The following is a 20366-nucleotide window of genomic DNA, read 5'->3' as shown; positions in this document are numbered from 1 at the left end:
TTTGATCTTTTGATTGCCCCTAGTATGGAGCTGAATATATAGCTCAAGAAACACTCAATGTGTGTCTCCGTTTCTTTCCCCAGACCTGTCTATCCTGGCTTATGTGGCTGCCCTAGTTTAGAATTACGTGCCATTAGAAGATGACCTTAAATTACCCTAATTTCTCATAAACAGAAGCCTTCCAGCTGAAAGCACATTACTCTCCTTCTTTGTCTTTATGGTTGTTGATTTTCTTATTTATTCCAATTACTTTTGAAGAGCTAGGATACTTTTCCCTAAGTGGCACGTAATTTAGAGCAGTGTTTCTCCAAGCACCTTACAGAACAGAGAGCCAAAACACCAGAAAAACCTGGACAACTTATTAAAATTTCAGGCAACAGAGTTCAACTCTAAGCCTGATGATGAATATTTTTTGAAGGTAGGGCTATGAACTTCATATTTTGATAGTTTCCTTAGCAGATTTTATGAACATTAAAAAAATTCAAGAATGGACCTTTCTTTACTCTGATTTTTCTCATGTGACTTGTCCTTCTGAGGATTAGAGTATAACTGACTAAAATGTCTGAAAAACGGCATGCAGAGAGTCATGCTGTCAAACATACAGTATTCAGTGGCAACTTGCCCTAACATTAAGGCAAATTATATTCAACCTGTATGTGCTGGTACTCCCAGCAGAGCTGAGTGTTTTTCCTCATTGGCTGAAGGTCTTGTTCTGATAGGCCAATGTCTATGAAATACCTGTTGTTGCATATTTCAAATGGCCATTCTGTCTGACACTTTTAGTAATAATCATTGCTGGAGTTAAGAACTCCTGTCCAGTAAACCTTGAGAATTTGGCTGGACTAATGAGTTGGAAAGGTTTAGCTGATCATTTTCGTATGTCTAAATAATGGGTATTGTCATTTTTGCCTTCAACATCTTTGCCAACCATACTTCATATCTGTTTCTTGTCTTCTAAAAAATAGCAACTATTTTTTCATTGCTTCGTTTGAGACATGTTTCTTCTATATTCAATGACGATGTGAGTTGAATAGGAGCCACTGTATTCCTGAATAGGTTTTATCTTCCTGGCTGTGGTTATTAACTTGGTATGGACACCTGACCCAACCTTGGCCAGTTTGATTACCCCTTTGTCCTGTTCACAGTGATTCATGAATGGGCAGCTGAGGTTGAAACTTTTCAATCAGAGACCAGGAAGTCTGAGTCTCAATACTTGCTTGAGTATTTGAGTGGAAACAAACAAACAAACAAACAAACCTGCATGTCTGACAGTCACTGGAGCTTCCACTACATGGAGGGAAGTAGTTTGCTATTGAAAGGCAGCCAATTAAGACAGAATTAAGTCAATACAGATAGAGGAGAGATGAAAAAACAGTGTTGGTTGCATGTCAGCTCTATCTGGGATTTAGCATCTTGCCATTCTCTCATGAAATTAAATGAATTCCCTATTTTGGTTATTTCAAGTTGGGTTTCTCAGTTGCAACCAGAAGAGTTATTTTTTTGTCTTTTGTTTGTTTGTTTGTTTGTTTGTTTTGAGACAGAGTCTCACTCTGTTGCCCAGGCTGGAGTGCAGTGGTGCAATCTCGGCTCACTGCAAGCTCTGCCTCCCGGGTTCAGGCCATTCTCCTGCCTCAGCCTCCCGAGTAGCTGGAACTACAGGGACCCACCACCACGCCTGGCTAATTTTTTGTACTTTTAGTAGAGACGGGGTTTCACCGTGTTAGTCAGGATGGTCTCGATCTCCTGGCCTTGTGATCCACCTGCCTTGGCCTCCCAAAGTGCTGGGATTACAGGCGTGAGCCACCACGCCTGGCCTGTAACCAGAAGAGTTTTGACTGTTACGTCATTGTGCCAAGCATAACCAATGGTGACACAATATCAGGTTCTAGCTCATAACCTATCTGGATTCTGTCACATTCATAACACTAGACAGGGCAAAAGATATTGTGCTATGTGTGAGATATGTCATTGTACTTATCCTTTCAGGGCATATTAAATATCTACCTGTGATGCATAGTTAAGTGACACAATTCCCTCCTCCAGCCCTAGCTCTGTTGCAACACTGAAGCAATCAGAATTTCTCTGGGTTCCAGTTGTCTCATACATAATGAGAGAGCTGATGTTCTTGAGGGTTTAGAAATCTAGTAGTACGTTAGATTATATATTATTTATCAACATATATCTTTGTAGGTAACTGTATTCAAATAAATATGTTATAGTATTTGGAAATTCTAATCATTTAGAAACATGTCCAGATGCCTTATTTTCAATTCCTTAAAGAACCACTGAGAAGTACAAAGTTTTTTCTCACCTCAAAAAGTGTATATCATCCTGAATCATAGTTTCTTAAGGTGAGTGATTGCTATGTAAATAAAGGACTGAAGAATGTTCTGACATAAATGGCTTATGTTACCAACAAATAAATGCACCATTATGAGTATTATTTATGTAGGATGATTGAAAAAACCTAGAGAGTTTTATCATTAGGAGAAAATGTTTTTCATCACTAGTATGTATGTGTGTGTGTGTGTGTGTGTGTGTGTGTATATATATATATTCTAAAAATAAGGGAAGCCAATAAATTTATTCTAAAAATATTTTTTTTTGGAAAATAGCCAATAAATACATTCTAAAAATAAGGGAAGCCAATAAATTTATTTTCCCTTTCCAAGCATCAGGAATAAATTGATCAAGGGGCTGGCTTACACTATAATCACTTTCTTCTGATTACTAAATTTTAAGACTTATTTTCTTATCCTGTTCTTGCCACTATGATTTAGAGAAATATATTCATGTCTTTCCACCATCATTTGAGGGCTCCTTCCATGTGCATCAATAACTTAGAAATAGATCTTAGAAATGTAAGGCCTGAAGAAAGCAACTATATATATTTACCAAACATGAAAGTTTTCTCTGGCATTAAGAAATATGTTAGAGACCAGGTGCAGTGGCTCACGCCTGTAACCCCAGGACTTTGGGAGGCTGAGGCGGGCATATCATGAGGTCAGGAGACTGAGACCATCTTGGCTAACACGGTGAAACCCCGTCTCTACTAAAAATACAAAAAAGTAGCTGTGCATGGTGGCATGCACCTGTAGTCCCAGCTACTCGGGAGGCTGAGGCAGGAGAATTGCTTGAACCCAGGAGGCGGAGGTTGCAGTGAGCCCAGATCGTGCCACTGTACTCCAGCCTTGGCAGTGGAATGAGACTCAGTTCTCTCACACACAAAAAAAGATAGAGCAAACTTTTAAAATTTTATAACAAAGGGTTAAATATTTACTTTAAGTGAGATGAAGTTTTTTTTAAAGAAAAGTAGATGTTTATTATTTTCATAAATTTCCACGCATAAAATGATAGAAAATTCTCTGTAATTACATGCATGTAATCAGAAACAAATATTTTACAATAAGTTCATAATTTAAAATGCTTTTGGGTGGTTTTTTACAATTTAAGGTTAATTTGACTTGGTGAAGTGTGTGTGTATGTGTCTATCTATTTGTGTAAGAATTGGAGCCTTTTGAATAATTAGAAAAAGAAAAAAAAAGTTGGTACTTTGATTTTTATGACCTGCCACCAAGACGTGTGTGAATATGGTTTAGAATGACAAATCAAATATTCAACAAATTAGGATTCTGCTTCCAACAGCCAATAACACTTCTTTGAAAGCAAAGTGGGCCCAGTAATGATGGAAGAATGGCTCTACTGACTAAAAAGGAAATTAAATCAAAATAAAAATATAGCAATTCCAAATGACACAATTCAACAATTAAATATTCAGCAATTAAATTATTTGAAGATCTCTGAATACTTCTATGGGACTCTTGCACCCCAATCAGAGTTGGCTCTTTTCAATTGTGATTTAACTAGAAATTGTGATTTCTATACAGTTCACTCTAACATTTAAGTCTAGCAGATTAAGTTTTCCATGATAAAACAAAGAAATATGTCTCACAGATATGGTGGACTTTACTCAATGTATTAGACAAATTAATCATAAATCACCTTATCCACAGTCCTTTCTGCAAAAACAAACAAACAAACAAAAAACTGAAAGGAGGCAGTGAGGCACAAATAATATTAAGGTGACTTAAGGCAAACCTAAGTTATGAGGAAGTTGTTTTTACACACACACACACACACACACACACAAACACACACACACCCCATCTGGAAGGTAGGGAGAATATTTTCAAAGTGGAGGATAAGGCTAAGACAATTGAAGAGTGGAAAAGCTACATGTAATAGCTCAGCCACACTGGTGGGGAATTCATAAAGAGAATAGTCATGAACTCCTGCTGCTAACATTCTTAGAACGATTTGGACTCGGTCCCTTCCTGTCTTAGTCCCCACAAAATCAAGCTGTATTACAGACCTTAATCTTGGATTTCTCTATACCATTTCTCTTATCATGTCATGTTTCTCCTGAAAATAGAAAGTTCCTTACTTAGGTTCACTTGAGTGAGCTCCTCTTCCTTGCAACTATCAAGAACACTCACTCACATTACTTTTTATTTGTAAAGTTTTATCATTCTTCAGAAGGAATGTTCCCTCCAAAGAGTTTCTTACTCATAGCTGGCTACCAATCTACACAGTAATTACCAAGAAATAAAGGGACCTAAAATATCCTGGAGGAATTAGTTCTGCCAGCACAGTTGATCAGCTGCCTGGTTGCATAACTCTGGGCAAAAAACGTGACAAATGAGTTGTTTTAAACCATTGTTAATAGTTTATTTTCACACTTTAATCTGCACAGATTGTTTTCTCACTGTAGTCTTCTTGTGGAGAATGCCAGCATTCCTGCTGTTACCACTCATATTTGAGATACAAGATGTGGCAGCTCCTGATTTGCTCTGTAGACAATTCACAACATATTTCATTTTACAAACTCTTGTGGATTTCAAAGCCTCTGTGTATGATATGGTTCAAAGGAGAAATGTTTTCAGAGGGGGAATGCTGATTATCATAGCTTCATCACAGGGATTTTTGTGCATTAAAGACTCTAGATGTAAAGTGGATGGGAATAAACATTAACTGAACATCTGCTACAAGCCTGGTGCTTTGTGAAATGTATATAAGTAAACTGTCATTTAAAACTTACAAAACACAGTAAGGTAGATACGATAGTCCCTATTTTAAATAATAGAAAACTATTTTAAAAATTATGTAACCCCCTCCAAATCAGTGAGCTATTAAATAAAAGGCAAGGAGTTCAAATGCTAGGACTTTATTAAGTCTGAAGCCACTTTTCCTCAATATTTTATTCTGCTCCCCAGGAAACATTCATATTGTTTGCAAGGAAGAATTTATTTACCCATTCCCAATTTTGTAGTCAATTAAGTTCTACTTTAAATATTACTTTTTCAGTAAAGTCTTTCCTCTCTACCACCCCACTTCTCTCACCAAGTTAATCTCTTTCCTCTCTCTCTGTGCATATATGTATGTGTGTGTGTGTATGTGTATATATATATATATATATTCATAAATACATAATGCAAGTATATATAATGTAAATATATACACATATGGAGAAAGAAATATATATAAAATATATATGTGCATATATTATGTATATATGAATACTGTGTGTGTATATATATAAAGAGAAATAGCATTGTTCATTATTTTTCTTTTCTTTTTTTGGTAAAACCAATCAGACTCAATCAATTATTCAATCTAATGGCATTTCTACCCATTTGTTCCATATCTGTTTTCACTTTTAGCTGTAAACTAAACCAGGACAGGAACCACATCATTTTGTTCCCTTTGGATCCTCACACAGTCCCTGGTACAAAGTTAATGGTCAAGAATATTTGATGACAATTAGTGAATCTACTTGTTATCAACTATATATGTGGGTGACAGGTGGCATAGGAGCTAGGGAATATTTCATTTTTTGTATTTCAATGTTTGTGTTCTTTTTTGTTTTGTGGGATACTTAAAATAATTTTCTAATCTGGAATTATGAAAAAATCTATATTTTGTTTTAAATTATTGGGATATTTTAAAAAATAAAACACATTTTGTGAATGAATAAGCTGATGTTCTCTCCATTTCTCCGCAATCAGTCAATTATCAAGTTCTGTCAATTTGATTCCTATTACATCTCTCTTTTTCATTCCCTTATTTTTATTCTAATTGCCATTACTTTATTTTGGATTCCCTTTCATCTATCCCATTAGCTTTGGCAATGTGAAGATCCTTGGTGACATTTGCAATAATGGTGGTTATTAAAGCTTCATAGGATTAGGTATAAGAAAACATAAAATAGAAATTTGAGATGGGTTTAAACAACTCTTGGACGAAGTCTTGCTATCAAGGAGAGCAGAGAAAAAAAGGATGGAAGTTGGAGGGAGCTATGAAATCATAAAATGGTTAATTTCAGTATAATAAATATTCTAGCATGTTTACTGATGAGAATGATTCAGGATGGAGGGAAATGTGATGTTTGCAAGAGAGGGTAAATAATTGCAGATGACAACTTCTTGATGTAGGTAAGAAGAGATGGAGTCTAGGGCACAAAACTGTCAAGAACAGTTTATTATTTGTAATTAGTGGTGTAGCAGTCATACAGATAAAGACATAGGGAAGACCTTATATTTGTCACTGAAAGGTAAATAAGAATATAAAGTTAAGGCAAAATCGGTGTTCAAAATTATGTATTTTTTTCTATCTATACTCAGCTATATGGATATAATCATGAAATGAATGGGGCATAGGCTGAGGTTGAGGTAAGAGGTTTGCCAAGTGAGTATTACATGATCAAGAGATTGATGGGATAGAGAGTTGAGAGCTGACAGAGGAGAAAGTTTACAATAAGTGACTATGTAATCTCACCTAGAAAGGGAAGGCACTTGAGGATGTGAGGGTATGATGGACAGTGAAGTGGTGAACTGATAAAAGGAATGAGAGGTCTGAAGGGGCCAAATGATTGTTTAAGTGGAAGTAGTAAACATAATTATTTGAATGGAAAAGAGGCTTTCAGCAGAAAATGGCTTACTTGAAATTGAGATTGTGATGAAGGTAGAATAATTGATAATCACAAGATTCAGGCTATTACCACAGGAAAGGGTGGCTAAGATGGGATGGAGTACAAGTTCATGGGAAGCTTGGAGGTAAAGAAACTGAGAAGTCATAATATTGGATGGATCATTGATGTATATATGGTTATCACCAAGACATTGACTGAATAAAATAAATGAGGAAGACCGTGCCAGGAAGATGAGGGGTTATTAAAAGACGGATGATTACAATGGCTAAAAAAGGATGTCATGAATGCTTTACTCACTAATGTCTAAATGTTTTAGTCTTCCACTTGAAGGCTTTGATAGAGGCAGGAGGCAGACAGGGATAGGTCCCTGGTGAAACTCCACCTTCAAGCTGAAAAGCCTGAAACCCATGGCCCAAAGTGAAAACTTCTATTCCTGTCTGCCCTCTCTTTCCCAATTGGTTCTTTCTGAAAAACGCCTTCTTACCAACTGAATGTTGCCTTTTCCAAAACTACCTATAGCCCACCCTACCCATCATCCTGTGCCTATAAAGACCCCAGACACAGTCAGTAGAGGATAGAGAGGTGACTTGACTTCAGAGAGACAGCTGGACTTCAGAGCAGAGACAACTTGACTTCAGGGAAGATCCAGCTGGACTTTGTGGGGAGACTGCCTGCCTGTCCTGTCCCCTCTCCTGCTCCCCTGTCTGCTGAGAACCATTTCCATTGCTAAATAAAATTATCCACTTTTGCCATCCTTCAAGTGTCTGTGTGACCTTATTCTTCTTGGATGCTGGACAAGAGCTCAGGAACCACCGAGTACAGGGACCCAAAAATGGCCATCACACTGACCCTTTGCCCTTGCCAGCAGAGGGAAGCCATCCCATGTGATGAGGCAAGGGGCTAAGTAAGCTGATAATACACTGCACTCTATGGGTAGTGGAGCGAAGAAGTCATTGTAACACCCCTTCTTGAGCTTCACCGTTGCAGGCACCCTCACCTGGGCACTGCCGCAGGATAGTAAATGGAGCTCGCTCCTGCCAGCACCTGGAGCAGTGGCTGGAAGGATTCCACACTCACTTACTCACATGCTCCCTTCTGTAAGGGGTTGAGCACAGTGGGCCGAGTAAACGGGGCGCCCCTGTTGCAAGTCTGACAAAGCGGTCATGAAATATTCTGCATCAGCTCCAATGTTCTAGTCCTAAGTTATCTTTCCATATTTTGCCTCAAATTCTTCCCATTTATGCATGCAACATTCCATGTAATAGGAGTGCTTGCTATTTTCCAAATATGCTGTATTCTAAATGTATTATGAGCCTGTATACATGCTATTGGTCCTTGTCTAAAAATATCTCAATAAGATCATATGCATACTAAAATTCAGTTTATGTTTCACTTCAAATTGTATCTTATAAAAACATTTAAAAGGAACACAAAAATAGGGCCTTCATTAAAAACCAGAAGCCAACCCCCACCCCTCAAAACCCCACCAAAATGAAAACAAAAACAAAAACAAAAAAATCATCACCATCACCACAACAGAAAACAACCTTCTCTAATTCCTCCCGCAAGAAATCTTGTGCCTTACTGCAGATTCCCCATCGTGGTTTCTCTTTCTTTTCTTTTTTCTTTTCTTTCTTTTCTTCCTTTCCTTTCCTTTTCCTTTTCTCATTTTCTTTTCTCCCTTCCTCTTCTCCCTTCCCTTTCTCTCTTTCCCATTCTTTTCTTTCTCTCTTTTTTTGTGATGGAGTCTAGCTGACACCCAGGTGGGAGTGCTGTGGCACAATCTTGGCTCACTGCAGCCTCCACCTCCTTGGTTCAAGCGATTCTCTCGACTCAGACTTCCAAGTAGCTGGGACTACAGGCATGTACCACCATGCCCAGCTAAAAAATTTTTTGTGTGTATTTTTAGTAGAAATGGGGTTTCATCATGTTGGCCGGGCTGGTCTCAAACTCCTGACCTCAAGTGATCTGCCTGCCTCAGCCTCCCAAAGTGCTGGGGTAACAGGTGTCGCCACTATGCCCAGCTGCCCATAATTGTTTATTTCTTATGATACCAATCATGTTCTGCCTTATGATACAGTTATTTAAATTATCTTACTGGTCAAAACCATCATCATCAAATCTGAATGCTCCTATCTAACCCACTCTACTGCAAATTTCCCTTTAGTTTTTCTTTGTTTCTGATGCCTTCCTAATTTATCCTTTGAACCCCCAGGCCAATATATGCAAACACATCTTATTGTACAACTGTATTCTTCTTAACCCTACCCACTCATCATAATAAAACTGCTTTTCCAAAATCATATCTATTTGGCTTTCATTACTCAACAGAATGAAATGGTAGCATATTGTCAATCAATGTCTTTCTCCAAAAGTCCTTTCAGGGCTCTAGATCAACCCTTTAATCTGTTCATCTGTTCTCCTCCTACTACTACTAGAGTTTTTGTGCTGAAAGCAAGTAAGCAAGCAAAAAGGGACAGCAAACAACAAAAATAACAAACCTTTTCAATACTAATTAAAGGACTCTGTCTACTCAATAATGTTTTAAGGCAAAATTTGAATCCCCTAGTATTGCATTCGAGCCCATCCAAATTTGGATTTTACTTCTCTTGTCAGTCCTATACTTACTGATACCTCTCCTCACAAATCTCACACCTTAGCTACACAACACTTTTCTCCACTCCATAAACTAACCATGACACTTTACAGCCACATATTTTTGCCTTTCCCTGTAATTTTTAAACCTTATCTCTGTTTAATAAACTATAATTCAGCTTTTAAAACCATACTCAAATTCATCTCTCCATCTTTAGAATAATTATATTCACTCTATTCTTTGTTTTCACAGTACAAAGTTCAAATCATTATCTTAGTACATGTCTCATTGCATTTTAATGTTGTTTACTTGTCTATCTCTTTCACTGCACTGTAGTTTCCAGCAGTGAAGAAATGAAGTTTATTCTTTGCACCTGATGTGACTGATCATGGATTTATTAACTTCTATCTGGCTACCTGTTACTCTTTGGGCCCTCCATGGTCCACAGGTTTCTCTCATTGACTATGTGACTTCATTTCTCTATTAAAATTTTCATGCCTGCAATCCCAGCACTTTGGGAGGCCGAGGTGGGCGGATCATGAGGTCAGGAGATCGAGACCATCCTGGCTAATACGGTGAAACCCCGTATCTACTAAAAATACAAAAAAATTAACTGGGCGTGGTGGCAGGCACCTATAGTCCCACCTACTCGGGAGGCAGAGGCAGGAGAATGGCGTGAACCCGGGAGGATGAACTTGCAGTGAGCCAAGATCGCCCCACTGCACTCCAGCCTGGGTGACAGAGCCAGACTCCATCTCAAAAAAATACACAAATACATAAAAAATAAATAAATTTGACCTGTCTTGGATCTTTTCTGATCAGAACAGATTTTCCTTAGTTTTAAGTTTGAGTCTGTTTCAAGAGCAAACTGTGATTTCATAATACCTGTATTCTTTTCAGTATTTCTTCTCTGTGTTGCTTCTTTTTTCTTTCCACAGACATAATTCTAATTAAAACCTTCACTACCTTTGCCTTTATCATGGTGTATTCAGCCTCCTGCCAGCTGTCTTTTTACCCCAATCCATTCTATACTTTGACTTCATATTTATCTTTCTAAAATAGCATTTTTATCATTTATTTTTCTTTCTTGTAACATCAGTGGTTCCCTGTTGCCTTATGATGAAATTCAAGCTCTTTATTTTTGTATGCAAATCTTTGAAAACCTGCCCCAATGCTAATTCTTCAACCTTAGTTTCCACTTGACTACCATAGCCCCGGCTCTGTTCAGACTATCTTCTAAATAGCTTTAGTCATTCGTTTGAAGTTCATTAGTCATTCACTGAAGTTATCAGCTTATATATGCACTCAAGTATTCTCCATTAACAAGGCTAGATAACATTCCTTTTCCTCAAGAATATTTTCTATAACCACAGTAATTATGTTTAGCTGTATATAATTACATCGATGGATCCATCCTACAAACTCCTAGGCATTTACTATTTACACTTTTCCTATCTACTTAGTAAAGTTGTATGACTGCAATTTTGTTTCTCTAATGAGATAATTTATTGTTAACTAGAGCCTCATCTCACACTTAGTTTTGGCTGATATGGGCTCTGATTATGGTAAGTTATTTGCATATAGATAATTCTACTCTGCTACAAGCATAGTGATAAGAGCTAGTTTTAAACATTGATTATACTTATGGCATAGAATGATGACCAATCCTCAAATACATTAAAGAATTTATAATTACTCAGGACCAGGAAGACATCACAAAACTTCTAGGATTTTCACCAATTCCTCATAAGAACTTTCAGATTTCAGTATCATTTGGAGAGTGTGATGGTTAATTTTAATTGTGTCAACTTGACTGGATACGTTAAGCAATACCAAGAAACGTGGTAAAGCATTATTTTGGGGTGTGTTTGTGAGGGTGTTTCCAGATGAAACTAGCATGTGAATCTGAGTGGACTAGGTGGGAAAGATCCACCCTCAGTGTAGGCAGGCACCATTCAATTGGCTTGGGACTCAGACAGAACAATAACAGAGGAAAGGCATGTGTCTATTTCCTGGAAATGAGATACACTTCTCCTCTACTGCCTTTGGACACCAGAGCTCCAGGCCTCCTGGCCTTCGGACTCCATGGCTTACACCAGTGGTCCCCCTGGGTTATCAGGCCTGTGGTCTCAGACCAGGAGTTACACCATCAGCTTCCTGGGTTCTGAGGCCTTTGGACTTGGATCGAGCCACACTATGAGCATTCCAGGGTCTTTAGCTTGCAGATGGTTTGCCATGGGACTTCTCAGCTTCCATCATCACATGAATCAATTTCCCTAATCAATTCTCTTTCATATATGTGTGTGTGTGTGTATATATATATATATATATATATATATCCTATTGGCTCTTTCTCTCTATAAAACCCTAACTAATACAGGTAGATTGAATTATCAATTTTTGATTATATATGGTTGTATTCATGTGTATATGAAAAAAAGTTACTTTTAAAATAGATTAACCCTTTAATATATTGCTTTTCTGTTTATACTTCAATCATTAAAGGTATTTTAGCTCTTTGACATTGATAAAATGAAATTCTATCTTAAGCCTGTTAATGAGGATGAAGAAATCACAAAGTACTTGTTTTCACTTTCATAAAAGAATCAATTTTGTCTTGGCAATATATAATAAGAGGACTAAATTAATCAGTTTCCTTATTATCCTTTTAGGCTGAACATATTATCAGGTATTAAGCTGAAATAAAAAACAAAAAGAATCTTACCATCAAATAAATTATTGACTATATTCATATTAAAAGGCAGCAGCAACTGGGAACTGCTATTTAATGGACTGCAAAATACGTACTTTTTCTTCTTCAAAAAAGAAGTAATCAGAATATTTATAGTGGAAGGGACCCTCCTTTGCAAATCGTCCTAGTTCTGTTTGTGCGCGATCAAATGCTTTCAGAAGCATCTCAGAAGCAGGGCTGTACCCACAGTAAGTATTCATTGCTAATACACCGGTTACACAAATATTGAATCTAACCCTGAAAAGTCTTTGGAAATCTATTTGCTTGAGGTACAAATTGTCCTATCTCAGCTCAACAAATTTGCTGGTTTCACAGGCTTAAATAAGTTTAGTAACATCAAGGTTTGAGGAAGCAAGCAATTTCATTATACATTCACATATAATCTATGAAGTCTTGTTGCTTCTAGTTGTATTATGATTTTTAAAATATAGCTGGTAATTGGATTTTTAAATAGCTGGTAATTTGATTTTTGTTGGCTGGAATCCACTTCTCCCTTACATTAAAGTCATCTTTTCAAAAACTTTCTTAAGTTCCAGAGAGAAATTAATACCTAAAATGACAGCTAGAGGTCTAGCATTACCTTTCAGGTTATGCACTAATCATTGTTACAAGACTAATGATGAATAATACCCAATACTTATATGGGGTTTACTATGTGTTAGGTACCCTTGTAACTCCTTTAGCTATAACAACTCTACTCCTCATAACCCTTTGAATTGGTTTGACTCATGGAAGTTGAAAAGTTACCTAAAGTCACATGGCTCTTAAATGCCAGAGCCAGGACTTGAATTCAGGAAGTCCGGCTTCAGAGTCCATGCTCTTCTCCACAATGATGAATAATGAATGAATTGTATTCCATGTATTCTGCAGTATATCAGTGCTTTGGATCCAAAGACATTTTTCTACAGAATATTGTAAATAGTGGTTGGGTTGCTATTTAACACACAAAATACAACTTAGTTCATAACAACTAAGTTATGAACTATGAGCTTGTACTATGAAGAACTCAGTTCATACCACTAACATAGTTATTTTGGGTACTAGGACATAGGAGCAAGGATCTTATGGTAAAGAAGAGAAGAAAAAGTAAACTACCTCCCCTCCATATACATGTATCCTTCATAGAAGCCTGCCTCACACAAAAACATAAAAGATGAAGGTGGGTTTGTTTTTTGGTTTGGGGATGTTCTACTTCTTCTTCATTTACTTTTCTTCCCCAGTGCCTTTGTATGTTTTTCCCTCTGTCTGCAATGCCAGCCCAGAATTGGGGCAATTCACAAACTCTTTTTCTTTCATCAGCACTGTACTCAAATGTCAACTCCTCTGTGCAAATGCTTCTAAGGGCCCTGTGGAGTTCAGTTCCTGTCCTATTTGTACCTCTGAAATATGATACCTCTTTACTCTTCACACATTGTGGCATGACTTCTTTTGACAGGATCATTAACTTGTCTATCTCCTCTACTAGATCATGAGTTCTTCGAGAGTCAAAGGGCATGCCATTCTTGAATCCCCAGCACCAAAAGAAAAAAGAAAACGAAATGAAACAAAAATCTGTGCATGCCAGATTCTTTACACTTATAATTATTCTAATCTTTACATCAATTTCAAAAGGAGAGAGAAACAGTGTTACGTGAATCAAGAATCTAAAGTTTAGAGAGAGTGGGTCACATAGTTAAAGCGGGGCAGAACTGGGATAGCAACCTAATTAAGCCTACCTCAAAAGCTCTCTGCCTGACCTTATAGAAAAACACAAATAGATTTCTTTAAATGATGCCAAAGCCCTCTGATGATGATCATCACAATTCTATCCTACCTCTCTTCCCATATAAACCAACTTCCTTTCCTCTTTGGGAAGCTGTCTCAGTACAATGTTAAATGTCATAAAATAAGCAGTCATGCGTCACTTAGTGATGAGGATTAATGCGACATTAGGCAATTTCGTTGCTGTTAAAACATCAGAGGGCACTTACAAAAACCTAGATGATATAGCTTGCTTCATACCTCGGCTATATGGTATACCCTATTGTTCCTAGGCTGCAAACCTGCACAGCATGTTACTCTACTGAATACTGTAGACAATTGTAATACAATGGTAAGTATTTTTGTGCCTAAACATAAAAAAGGTATGATAAAATATGATATAAATAACAATGGTACACCTGTACAGGGCATTTACTACAAATAGCACTTGCAGGACCAGACGTTGCTCTGGGTGAGCCAGTGAGTGAGTGGTGAGCGGATGTGAAGCCTAGGACACTACTGTACATTACTGTTGACTTTATAAACACGGCACACTTAAGATATATTAAGTTAATCACAAATATATTTTGTTCTTTAATAATAAATGAACCTTAGTTTACTGTAACATTTTTACTTTATAAACTTATTTTTAACTTTTTGACTCTTTCATTATGACACAGCTTAAAAGACAAACATATTGTACAGCTGTAAAAATGTTTTCTTTCTTTAGATCTTTATTCTATAAGCTTTTTTCTATCTTTAAAATTTTTATTATCTTTTGCAATTCTTTTGTTAAAAATAAAGACACAACACACAAATTAGCCTAGCCTACACAGGTTACACTGAAAGTCACTAGGCGACTGGAATTCTCAGTTCCATTATAATGTCATGAGACCACTGTCATATATGTGGTCCATCACTGACTGAAACATTGCTATGCAGCACATGACTGTAATTCAACCAAAATACAGTAAAGTGAAATTACTGCACTGAAATTCTCATTGTTGAACCTTATTTTTAATAACATAATTCTTATTCACCTAAACAACAATTTAGTGGAATTTTAGCCTGACTAGTGTATTTGTTATGTCATGGGGAGCAAGAGATCTTTGACAATGTGTGATAAGGTTTTGCTCTGTGCCCCCACCTAAATCTTATGTTGAATTATAATCCCCATATGTTGAAGGCGGGGCCTCATGAGAGGTAACTAGATCATGGTGGTGGTTTCTCATGGTTTAGCACCATCCCCCTAGTGCTGTCTCATGAGAGTTCTAACAAGATTTGATGGTTTAAAGGTGTGGCATTTCCACCTTCACTCTCTCTCTCCCCTGCCACCATGTAAGACATGCCTTGCTTCTTGTCTGTCTGCATTCTGCCATGATTGTAAGTTTCCTGAGGCCTTCTCAGCCATGCAGAACCATCAGTCAATTAAACCTCTTTTATTTATAAATTACCAAGTCTCAGGTAGCTCTTCATAGCGGTGTGAAAATGAACTAATATAAAAATTGCTACCAGGAGTAAGATATTGCTGTAAAGACACCTGAAAACGTGGAAGTGACTTTGGAACTGAGTAATGGGCAGATGTTGGAACAGTTTGGAGGGCTCAAAAGAAGACAGGAAGATGTGAGAAAGTTTAAAACTTCCTGGAGACTTGATGAATGGTTTTGGCCAAAATGCTGATAGTGATATGGACAATAAAGTCAAAGCTGAGGTTTCTCAGATAGAGTTGAGGAACTTATTGAGAACTGGTGCAAAGGTAACTCATGCTATATTTTAGCAAGGAGACTGGTGGTATTTTGCCTCTGACCTAGATATCTGTGGAACTATGAACTTGAGAGCAATTATTTAGAATACCTGGTGGAAGAAATTTCTATGCAGCAAAGCTTTCAAGATGTGACCTGGCTGTTTTTAAAAGTGGCCAGTCATATGAGTTTACAAAGAAATGGTCTGAAATTCAAGCTTATGTTTAAAAGGAAAGCAGAAAATAAACGCTTGGAAAATTTGTAGCCTGACCATGAGATAAAAAAGAAAAACCCATTTTCTGGGAAGAACTTCAAGCCAGCTGCAGAAATTTGCTTAAGTAGGAGCTATATGTTAATAGCCAAGACAATGTGGAAAGTGTTTCCAGGGCATGTTAGAGGTCTTTGCAGCAGCCTGTCCCATAACAGGGCTAAGAAGGAAAAATAGTTTCACAGGCCATGCCTGGTGGCCAGTTGCACTGTGCAGCCTCGGGACATGGCACTCTGCATCCCAGCTGTTCCAGCTCCAGCCATGGCTAAAACGGGCTAAGATACAGCTCAAGCCATTGCTTCAGAGAGTGAAAGCCCCAAGCCTTGGTGGTTTCCACGTGGCATTGAGCCTGTAGGTCTGCAGAATACAACAGCTGAGGTTTGTGAACCTCTGCCTAGATTTCAGAGGAGGCTTAGAAATGCCTGGAAGTCCAAGCAGATGTCTGACGCAGGGGTGGAGACCTCATAGAACATCTCTACTGGGCAATGCAAAGGGGAAATGTAGGGTTGGAGGCCCCACTCAAGAGTCCCCACTGGGATGCTGCCCAGTGGAGCTTTGAGATGAGGCCCATCATCCTCCAGACCCCAGAATGCTAGATCCACCAACAGTTTGCACCATGTGCTTAGAAAAGCTGCAAGTACTTAATGCCAGCCTGTGAAAGCAGCCAAGAGGGCTGTATCCTGCAGAGACAAAGGGACAGAGTTGCCAAAGGCCTTGGGCCTCCACCCCTTGCATCAGCACTCCCTGGATGTGAGACGTGGAGTCAATGGAGATTATTTTGGAGCTTTAAGATTTAATGACTCTCTGGATGGTTTATGGACTTGTATGGGGCCTGTAGCCCCTTGGTTATGACCAGTTTCTCCCTTTTGGTATGGGAGCATTTACCCAGTGCCTATACCCACATTGTAACTTGTAAGTAACTAACTTGTTTTTTTATTTCACGGGCTCCTAGGTGGAAAGGACGTGCCTTGTCTCAGATGAGACTTTGGATTGGACTTTTGAGTAATGCTGGAATAAGTTAAGACTTTGGGAAAAGCATGATGGGTTAAGAAAGCAAGATTGGTTTTGAAATGTGGAAGGACATGAGATTTGGGAGGGGCCGCGGTAGAATGATATGGTTTGGCTCTGTGTCCCCATCCAAATCTCATCTCAAATTGTAATCCCCATATGTTGAAGGTAGGGCCTAGTGGGAGGTGATTGGATCAGGGGGGTGGTAGAGTTCTCATGAGATCTGATATTTCAAAGGTGTGGCTTTTCCCAACTCGCGATCTCTCTCTCCTGCTGCCACGTAAGATATGCCTTACTTTTCCTTCACCTTCTGCCATAACTGTAAGTTTTTTGAGGCATCCCCAGCCACGTGGATCTGTGAGTCAATTAAACCTCTTTTCTTTATAAATTACCCTGTCTCAGGTACTTCTTTATAGCAGTGTGAGAATGGGCTAATACAATGGGTCTGCCGCATTTTGCCAAAACTACCTTAAAATCCATTTCTAAGCTTAGAGCTCACAATATGGGTACAGGCACTGGGTAAATGCTCCCTTTCCAAAAGGGAGAAATTGGTCAAAACCAAGGGGCTACAGGCCTCATGCAAGTCCGAAAACGAGCCAGGCAGTCATTAAAACGTAAGCTCCAAAATAATCTCCAATGACTCCATGTCTCACATCCAGAGCATGCTGCTGCAAGGGGTGGACTCCCATTAAACCTTAAAGCGCCAAAACTGTTCTTATGTTTTTTGTAAAAAAAAAACTTTTCCTCCTTTGCCTCTAAATTTCCAATTCTCTAAAAGCTTCTTGAGGCTATGTCTTTTATTTAAACAAAGGCAAAATCAGAAGGGCCTGCGGCAATGGCCGACTTGTGGAAGGGCAGCTATTTATACATATGAATCATTTGCAAGTTGCCCATCTGTAAAATTTGTACTACAAGTTATTTGATCACCATGATGTTAGGATGACAGTAAAATATTTATGTTGGCTTTCATTTATTTATTAAACAAGTGGATGATGTAAATATTCTTTAAAATTCTGGATTCAGCATATTTTTTTTCCTTTATAACCAATATTTTTAACACTCTGACACTGTGAAGGAAAACCTACATTTAAAGAAAAAAGCATGCTATAATATTAAGTAGACTCTACTAATTATTAAGAAAATTAGTCTCTGCATTCTCTTGATAGATAATTTGACAGATAATTAACACACTATGTAGCAGGCAACCTTACATTCCCTATAGATGAATTCTGTCATTCCGACAGATCACCATAACCCCAATTTTACTTATGTGGGTTGCTCCATATAGTCTTCCTAGTTTCATAAATTTGATGGATTCTTTCCTTCTTGCAGAAGTGAGAAGAATATCCTTCATGACATTTATTCCAATGAAACTGGGCAGGAACTAATACTGATTACTTCTGTAAGGATCATCTCTAACCACACCCTTTAAATTTGATTTCTGGTAATATTGATGAAATTAATCCAATATCCCAATGTAGCACTGATATCCTAAGGGAGGCAGGATGATACAGTAGATAAAACAATCACCGTGAGTTAGATCTGTAGCTCGAGACCTCTCACCAACTATGACCTTGTGCCTGTCCCTTAACTGATGTTAACTGAGCAATAAAGTATAAAGATTAGGCGTGTACTCTTTGCAGTCAGACAAGCATGAGCAATAGGACTTGCTGCCTGTCTAAATCACAGGTTCTTTACCTAGAAAAAAAAGATAAGCTCAAAATGCTGTTTTGCTGTGATGACTAAATGAAAGAATGTATGAAATGCTTTTAGCATAGTGGCTGGTGCAAAGGAAGAATGTTAATCATTATCAAGCCTTCCACTTAGGCAGCTTGCTATCTCTCCTCTACAGCTCCAAAGATGAGCGTTATAAAATAGCAAGATGAATCACTGAGTTTTAAAATATTTTGAATAATGGCAGGATTATATTGGTATAACTGAATTACCTCTCAGTATGTCTACTTTGAAGACACAACACTCATTTGAATATATGAGGCTCAGTACATTTGTTAAGAAATAAATGTCTTGTTATTTTATGGTAAATGTGCAAAATATCTCATTGGAGTGAACTCTGGAAGAAACACTTCTAAATATTACAAATTACTTTCCAGAAGTAGTTTTAGAATCCTCAATATCCTGTACGTGATTTTTAATACTGGATAATAAAAATGATCACAAAATAATAAATCCAGAATCCTTGCAGGATAATGGAAATAAAATATCCACCATACATTACTCAATTTTAGACAAATTAACTGAGACAAAACGTGAGAATTAGTGCAGAGAGAAAAAAATGGAAGGAAATCATTTAAAATGATTCACAGGAAGCCTTAAGGTTATTTTTAAATACCTTACTGGATATTCAGAGAAAAATCAGGTAGAGCATATTAAGAATGGCAATGCAAGGCATGATAAGGAAAACTGAAAACCATAGGAAAATAGGCTCTCTTATTAACAAAAGAAAGACTGTCGAAGCAAAGTGGAAAGAACAACTATCACCTATGGCAGCTCAATTATGAGAATACCCCTCCCAAATAAACATTTTAATCTAAATTTCTATAATTACCTTAAAGGCCCACAAAAACTAGGAATTAAATACATGACAAGTGACCAACTGCAGAAATACTGCGACCACCTGAAAATCCCCAGAGAGCCACAGTTACTAATTGAGATAAAATGTCAGACGTTTCATAATCTGACTGAATATAAAAATTCCTAGTGATGCTTGTCAGAATTACCTGCATTCTCCACTTCAGACTGACTGCATCAGAATATCTAAGGGAGAACCAGGAATCTGTATTTTTAGTGAGATTCCCTCCAACACGATTTTGTTATCGCCTTTCATTCACCTTTTTTTAGGCAACCCTATCTAGTATAAAAGTGAGATTTCAAAATATAAAGAAATATGTATCTTTTTAAAAAAACATGTCGCAAGTAATGATTAGTTCTCACCATGGAAATGTACGGAAACACTCAGTACATTTTACTGTACACACAATTAAAATATACTGAATATATGTGAAATATCTGGGAGTACTGTGGAAAATGCAGATTCCTAAGATATATGGGGTGAGGATAATTTGTATACAGATCATAACTGGTCTCGTTCTTCCAATCCTCTTCCAATCCTCTCTCTGAGGAAATACCACAAACAAGATGGCCCTCTCTAGGTATGTCCAGATGGTGCATTTGAAAACCCTGGTTCTCCTCAGGCCTCCCAGGGAAAGAGTAGGTTCAAGATTTCATTCTCTTCGGAAATTTTCTGAAGGACT

At 37.7% G+C, this 20366-nt stretch overlaps 1 protein-coding gene across 12 annotated transcripts in view, besides 2 other annotated features; it reads right to left on the bottom strand.

Annotated features, from left to right (window-relative positions):
• Positions 1–20366, bottom strand: part of CNTN5 (contactin 5) — a 1337937-nt gene that overhangs the window by 365885 nt on the left and 951686 nt on the right. The window lies entirely within an intron of this gene.
• Positions 7403–7572: an enhancer, noted in NCBI's record as "experimental_22407 CRE fragment used in MPRA reporter constructs". NCBI's record gives its function as "activates a minimal promoter by MPRAs in K562 erythroleukemia cells, with activity observed for both the introgressed and non-introgressed 11:99856246 variant alleles {active_cell/tissue: K562}" and the evidence as "EXISTENCE:reporter gene assay evidence [ECO:0000049][PMID:34662402]".
• Positions 12332–12501: an enhancer, noted in NCBI's record as "experimental_22387 CRE fragment used in MPRA reporter constructs". NCBI's record gives its function as "activates a minimal promoter by MPRAs in K562 erythroleukemia cells, with activity observed for both the introgressed and non-introgressed 11:99851317 variant alleles {active_cell/tissue: K562}" and the evidence as "EXISTENCE:reporter gene assay evidence [ECO:0000049][PMID:34662402]".

The sequence above is a fragment of the Homo sapiens genome, chromosome 11, assembly GCF_000001405.40.
Source record: "Homo sapiens chromosome 11, GRCh38.p14 Primary Assembly".
NCBI lineage: Eukaryota > Metazoa > Chordata > Mammalia > Primates > Hominidae > Homo > Homo sapiens.
The sequence above is the reverse complement of the archived record's forward strand: the minus strand, read 5'-3'. Positions and strand labels throughout refer to the sequence as shown.